Genomic DNA, 8,221 nt, shown 5'->3' with positions numbered 1-8,221 from the left:
ATGTTCTTCAAGTAAAAATAAGACAAGCAAATACATTTAAAAATTATTATTGATTTATTTGTTTCCATTAAATATGGGAAGCTAAAATTATGATACATTCTATTTGTAGAACCACTACTCTCTGTATGTATTAATCACTACACAATGAGGGTTATTCACATATCAATATTTAATCTTTCAACTTTTCAATATTCAGTATTTCAGTATACTTTCAATTTTTAAAACTTTTTTTAAACATCTTCAATGTTCTGGAAAAAAAATACCCATTTAAAAATATGGTTTAGTACAACAGCTTGGGGAGCTTCACAGACACCCTGGAAAAATGGCTGAAAATTCTTTTTAAAAAGCTAACCACTTAGAGTCTCTGGAAATGTCCATAAAGGCCCACAGCAAATTAAGAATATTTGCACAAGAAAATCTGCTAAAACTCAGTAAGAAATGGAAAAGTCTGTAGTATTTGAACCAAGATTTGTGCTCTGTCTTCTCTCACAGGTCATGAAATGGAAACTTCCCTCTAGTTTGGTATAACCAAGAACTCAGTGGGAGTGCCATTATCCCAGGATGAGCAAGACACCTATATTTATCTTTATACTTCAGCTCCCTGTTGCTCAGGCTAAGCTTCTGGTGATTGTGGATCAAAGGTGTTGGTTTCCTTTTTCAGCTCAAACCCTTTGCGGGATAGAGGCTCAGTCTTGGGCATATTACTTTTGAGAACACTCTGGCCTACAATCTTTTTGTCCTGGCTTGTGGGATGGGTTTCCTGTGCTGAGATAATCAAACCTGAAGCTGCTGCTTCCCCATCCACTGTCTTTAGCTCCTAAAGTAAAAATGTCACTCAGAGAGAAGCAGGTCGATGCCCCACATCACCAGAGCCATAGTTCAGAGATTTTGCCCAGGGGGAAAGCAAGCATCAGAACACACTGAAAAGGTATGACCTCATTTGCAAATGTTTACAAAAGTTCAAGCCTAAGGGTACTCTTAAAAACTTATGGGAGTTGTGAGGGAAAGGCAAGTTAAAGTAGATTGATAGATTCTTTGCAGGTAGACACCAAACTGTATGTAGGCCAACGAGTTTGCCAGAGAAAAACAGAAAAGAGACAGCTAGAAACAGCCCTCATCTAGTGAAGACAAATTTCAAATGCTGACCTTAGAAACTATCTCTTCAAAATAGACTGGATTTGATTGGATTAGTTTGTAACCTATGGCATGGTTGAAATCAATAGACATATCAGCTGGGACTGGTGGATCATAACAGGTGGGTGTTGTCAGAAAAAGAGAGTCAAAGAAAGCTCTGTCAAAACAACTGTAATCCTAAGGTGACTGGGGGCATAACCAAGGCTGCCCCCCACAACCCAAGGAGCAACATGAGAAGCTTCACTCTATGGAAAGTGGAAGAGGGGGCATAGACTTTACTAAAATAATTCAGCCAGTTACTAAAACAGTAATAAAGCAAAGAACAGTAATATGCCCTGGATGTGAGGTAGCCAGTACCTAGAATTGCTACGATGCAATATCTAAAACAAGCGTTTTCCAACAACAGCAACAACAAATAAGAGACGTGAAAAGAAACAGAAAATTATGGCCTATACACTGAGGGGAAAAAGCAGGCAAGAGAAATTGCCTTGGAAAGCAACCAGATGTCAGACTTAACAAAGAGTTCAAAGTAGTCATTATAAATACATTCAAAGACATAAAGGAATCTATAAGTAAAGAAATAAGGGAATGTATGATAATGTCACATCAAATAGAAAGAACCAAATGGAATTTCTGGCATTGGAAAGTGTAATACCTGCAATAAAAACTCACTGGAAGATTTAACAGTAGATTTGACCTGGCAGAATAAAGAATAAGCCAATCTGAACATAGACATTATGCAATATGAAGAACAGAAAAAAAGGAGAACAATGAAAAATTAACATCATCTTAGAAAAATGTGGGGCTCCATTAAGTGCACCAACATTAATGGGAATAGTAGAAGGAAAAGTGAGAGAAAGAAGCAGAAAGAAAAATGAAATAATGCCTGGAAACTTCCCAAACTATTGTAAAACCATCTACAAATTAGGAATCTCAGCAAATTACTAGAGAATAAATGCAAAAATCCAAAAATAGATGTATCATAGTAAAGCTGAAAGTCAAAGAGAAAATATTCAAAGTAGCAAGAGAAAAATAACCCACCACTTACAAAGGAACCACATATGATTAGCAGCTCACTTCTCATCAGAAATAATGAAGGCCAGAAGAGTGTGGACTAACATTCTATGCGCTCAAAGGAACAAAAACCTAGCAACCAACAATTCTGTATCCAGCAAACTATCTTTCAAAAATAAAGGTGAAATTAGACATCCCCTTATAAAGAAAAAATTGAGAGAATTTCTTTCTAGATTTTCTTCACAAGGAGCTCGAAAGGACACTGTCAAGAAAATGAAAACTCACAGGAGAGAACATATTTGCAAATCATGTATCTGATAAGAGACACATATAAAGGATATATAAAGAAATCTTACCAGTGAATAATACAAAGACAAAATGAAAACAAAAACAAACCCCGTGGCTCAGGGTATGAAAAGAGATTTCTCCAAAGAAGCTACATAAATACCCATTAAGCACTTTAAAAGACGCTTGACATCATTAGTCATCGGGAAAATACAAAACTAAAACCAGAATGTAATACCACTTTCCATTTACTAGGATAATTATAATAATTTTTAAAAGTAAGGTATTAACAGCTGTTGGCAAGAATGTGAAGAAATTAAAACAGTCATACACTGCTGGTGGGAATATAAAATTATACCACTTCATAGAAGTTTGTATTTTCTCCATTGGTTAAACAATTTCCATGTGACCCAGCAATTAATTCAACACTAAGTAAACCTAAGGGAATTGAAAACATCTGTCCACAGAAACAAACAAACAAACAAACAAAAAAACATTTACATTAATATTTACAGCAGCAGTATTTATAATAGCCAAAAGGTAGAACTAACCCAAATGCCCATCAAGTGATGAATGGATAAACAAAATATGGTATACCTATACAATGGAAAATTTCTTGGCTTAAAAAGGAAAAAAGTGCTGATTCATGCTACAATAAGTGTTTATTTTGAAAATATTGTGCTAACTGAAAGACGCTCACCACAAATGACTGTATATCATGTGATCCCATTTATATGAAAGGTCCATAGTAGGCATATCTAGAGAGACAGCAAGCAGGTTCCTGGTTGCTTTGGACTGTGGGAAATAGGGGGATTAGAGGATGCTAGCTAAAGGGTGTGAGGTTTCTTTGGAACATATTTTAAAATTGACTGAGGGGATGCCACACATATCTGCAAATTGAATTGTACACTTTAGATGGGTAAATTGCATGATATGTGAATTATATCTCAAAAAGCCATTATAAAATTTTTTTTAAAAAAGGTATGTAAAAACTGCAATAGGAATATACATTTTTCCTTTTGCCACAAGCTCCAATATGGCTCAGCCTGGCACTGTGAATGATCTTTTCTTTATATATATTTATAATATTTGTTTATCAATGATTTTTGTATTAATTTTAATATATTTTTAAAATGTGGTAGTAACATCTTATTTACATAGATTACTGAGATTTGGGCTCATTCTTAAATTCTATAACTGAAGCAAATACTTCAGTTGCTTTTCCCTAGTTCCAGCCTCTCTCTGAGGCTGAAGGAGTTGTCTTAGTCAGCTCAGGCCGTCATAACAAAATCCCATAGACCAGGTAACTTAAACAACAGGAATTTGTTTTGCACAGTTTGCATGAGGAGTCCAACACCAGTAAGCTCACTGATTCAGGTCCCCAGTGAGGACCCTGTTCCTGGCTTAGAGACGCCTGCCTTCTTGCTATATCCTCCCATGGCAGAAAGTGGTGGGTGTGGGAGGAGAGAGAGAAAGAGAGACAGAGAGAGAGAGAGAGAAGATAAAGAGAGAATGAGAATGAATGACCTAGTGTCCCTTCTTATAAGAGCAACAATGACATTATTAGGACCTCACAATCATGACTTCATCTAAATAGAATTACCTCCCAAAGTTTCGTCTCCAAATACCATCCCATGGGGAATGCATAAATTTTCATTACATTACATGAATTTTGGAGGAACACAAACATTCAGTTCCTAGCAGGAGCTATCAGCAGAAAAGAGAGCTGCAATTACATTAGAGTCACAATCTGAAAAGCAGCACAGCGTCCAGAAGAAATTCTAGGAACCCAGGCGATGCAGTGTTCTAGAAACCTCTGAAATTACTCAGGGATATTTAAGGGAGCTACTTTTTAAAAAGTATGTGTCTGTTGGAACTTATAAAATCAAGTTAAAAATCATTTACTTTTATTCTATAATTACAAATTGGTGAGCCTGAGTTCATATGGCTGATTAAGAGATGTTATGTGGGATTTGATATAACTTTATGAGAAAGATAAAATAAAATGGTGAGCAAAATGCTTGCAGTCTTCACCTGAGGAGAAGCGATTCTTGCTTGCTGGTTAGCAACCAGATTTTCTTTTGATTTGCAGAACTCAGTAACATAAGGATAGGAAAACTAGAAGAAGCAAGAAAGGCTAAAATAATCTGCATAATAAACAGCTTCCGCTAGATTTCCAGTAATAGTGGAATGCCTCATAAAGAACTAACTCTTTTGCAGGTAACAACTATATATTTAGGTTGATGCAAAAGTAATTGCGGTGTTCGCCATTAAAAGTAACGGTGAACACCGCAATTACGTTTGCACCAAACTAATACTCTGAATAAAATGAAATGCAAACACACACACACACACACATACACACACACGCACACCAGCTATCAAAGGCAACGGAGAGTGATCAAAGTTGGGCAGAAAGTGGAGAAGGGTCCACAATTGGAAAATGTGACACTGAGATCTTTTACGGTTGTTAAGGTTTTCCACCTGACGGCAGGCCCAGGGCAGCACTGTGAAGGACTGAAATCTGATAGAAACCAATCATTTTGCAGGCTGAGAAATACAAAGGACAGGGTTTTTCATGAACACAGCAGCTTAGAATATTCTGGAAATCATTTTGCTGGCTGAGAAACACAAAGGACAGGGTTTGTCATGAGCAAAACAGCTTAGAATATTCTGGAAAGCAGCCACTAAGTGGGTGCTCAAATTCCGTACATAAAATCTGCCCAATTCTCTGGCTGACCCTTGAACTGCACATGTGCTTATTAGAATGAGGCCAAAGAAAATGTGAAGAGACTTCAGATGCTACTTTCTGAAGGCCTAGAAATTTAAATTTGTGTTACAGCAAGTTAACTTCCGGCTAAAATTTAAGCAGTACTTTGATAAGCCTTTCCTTCAGAATAAAAGAACTTTATTCAGAGTTTCTATCATGTGTCATTCACAATGTTCACAACAGAATTCAAAATCACTAATCATAAGAGCACCAGGAATAGAAGACTTATACTCAAGAGAACAAACAAGCAAGACCAACCATAAGAGGATGCCGATAGTGGAATTAGCAGACACAAGTTTCTATAACGTGGTCATATCGTAACTATACTTAAGAGTGTAAAGAAAAAGATGCATAAAGTGCATGAAAATATAGGAAAACTCAGAAGAGAAATGGGAAGTATTAAAATGAAATATAGATATTTTATAATAGAACTGAAAAATTATGTATCTGAAAAAAACTGCTAAAGTTAACAGCAGTTCTGAAATCACATAAGAAACAGTTGAAAACTGAAAGCTATGTTGTCATTATCATCACCATCCAACTGAAAACAGAGTGAAACATGAACAGAGCATCACAGACTTGTGGAGCAATATCAATAGATCTAACACGTACGTAAACTAGTCACATACTAAAATAAGAAAGTTAATCAGAAAAAAAAATTGACAGAATATGTGCAAAGATTTCCAAAATTTGGTGAATGAAAATCATATATATTCAAGAAGCTCAGCAGAACTCAAGTAGAATAACTCTAGTGTCTCCCGCCCCGCAACACAAACTCACACCTAGCAACATTTCGGTCAAACTACTGAACACCAGTGATACTGGTCTTTGTAATAGTAGAGAAAAACATAGAGGGCAGGCATACAAATTATTGCAAACTTATTATGAGAATAAATGGAAGCCAATAGGCAATGTAACTACATTTTTTAACATACTGAAAGAAAACTAAAGAGGATTGTCAACATGGGATTCTATATGTGCTGAAAATATTCTTTAAATGAAGGTGAAATGAAGACATTGCCAGATACACAAATATGACAAATCATTGTCAAGAAAAGCAAAATAAAGTATTTATTCTATAGCTATCTTAGTCTGTTTTCCATGGCTCTGAGTCCCTGAGGCTGGATAATTTATAAAGAAAATAAATTTATATTTTATAGTTCTGGAGGCTGGGCATTCCAACCTTGAGGGGCCGTGTCTGGTCGGCCCCTGGTGAGAGCCTTGTGCTGTGTCATAACATGGCAGAGGGCATCACAGGCTAGGAGGGGTACACTGAGAGCCAAAATGGCTTTTATAATGAACCACTCTCGTGATAACTAACCCACTCCCGTGATAACCCATTAGTCCATTAATCTATGAAATGTGTTAATCCATTCATGAGAGCAGAGCCGTAATGACCCATCACCTCTTAAAGGCCTGACCTCTAAATACTGTTACATTGGAGATTAAGTTTTCGCATGAGTTTCAGAGGGAACAAACATTCATAAAATAGCCATAGCTAAATAATAAACTTGGACATTGAGGTATGCTCAAAATGGCAAATATGTGATTATATATATATTATTATACATATAACATCTTTTTAAGTCTCTTAGTTTATTTAGCCTATATAGAGAGTTTAAAGAAAAATTATGGCATTGTATTGTGGGGCTTTGGCACATGCAGATGTATCATATATGAGAACCATATCATAAAAACATAAATAGAACGTCATGGTTGCAAAGTTCTTGCATCTCTTAGAAAGTGATACAATGTTAACTATACGCAGAATGTGAAAATTTAAGGATACATATTGTAATCCCTAGATGAGCATTAATTAATGTGCAAATCTGGGTATTTTAATTTCATTTTTAAAGATATCTAGGAACGGGATTGATTTAGTAAATTGAAATGCAGTTGCTGAAGTACCAGATGTGTCAGCACAGTTAAAATATGGATAATAACTTGAAACTTCTGGCTTGGTTTGTTGCCTAATCAAAACAATCTGTGCTACTAAATAATAACATTATAAAAATAATTTTTGTTTTTATTTTAGATTCCTGGAATATATAAGCAGGTTAGTTGCATGGATATACTGCACAATGCTGCACGGTCCTATAATCCAGGTAGTGAGAATAGTACTGATAGGTCATTTTTCAACCCTCCCCTCTCTCCCCTCTTATCCTTCTACTAGTCCTCAGAGTCTATTGTTTCCATCTTCATGTCTATACGTACCCAATGATTAGCTCCCACTTATAAGTGAGAACATGAGGTATTTGATTTTCTGTTCCTGCTCATTTGCTTAGGATAATAACCTTCAGCTGCATCCATATTTATGCAAAGGGTGTGATTTCACTTATTTTTATGGCTGCATAGTATTCCATGGTGTACATGTACCACATTTTATTTATCCAATCCACTGTTAGTGGGCACCTAGTTTAATTCCATGCCTTTGCTAATGTGAATAGTGCAGCAATGACTCTACAGGTGCATGTGTCCTTTGGTATAATGATCTATTTTCCTTTGGGTGTATACCAAGTAATGGGATTGCTAGGTCAAATGGTAGTTCTGTTTTAAGTTCTTTGAGAAAACGCTGAACTGCTTTCCACAGTGACTGAACTAATGTAAATTCCAAACAAAAGTGTATAAGTGTTCCCTTTTCTCTGCAGCCTCACCAACATCTGTTAGTTATTTTTTGTCTTTTTAATAATAGCCATTCTGATTGCTGTGAGATGCTATCTCATTGTGGTTTTGATTTGCATTTCTCTGATCATTAGAGATGTTGAACATTTTTTCATATGTCTGCTGACCACCTTATGTCTGCTCTTGAGAAATGTCTGTTCATGTCTTTTGCCCACTTTTTAATGGGGTTATATGTTTTTTTGCTTGTTAAGTTCCTTATAGATTCTGAATGTTAGACATTTGTCAGATGCAGAGTTTGCAAATATTTTCCCCCATTCTGTGCCTGTGCATTGTCTATTTACTCTGTGATGGTTTTTTTTTTTTTGTTTGTTTGTTTTTTTTTGTTTTTTGCTGTGC

Source organism: Homo sapiens, chromosome 18, assembly GCF_000001405.40.
Source record: "Homo sapiens chromosome 18, GRCh38.p14 Primary Assembly".
Taxonomy (NCBI): Eukaryota; Metazoa; Chordata; class Mammalia; order Primates; family Hominidae; genus Homo; species Homo sapiens.
Note: the sequence above shows the minus strand (reverse complement) of the source record.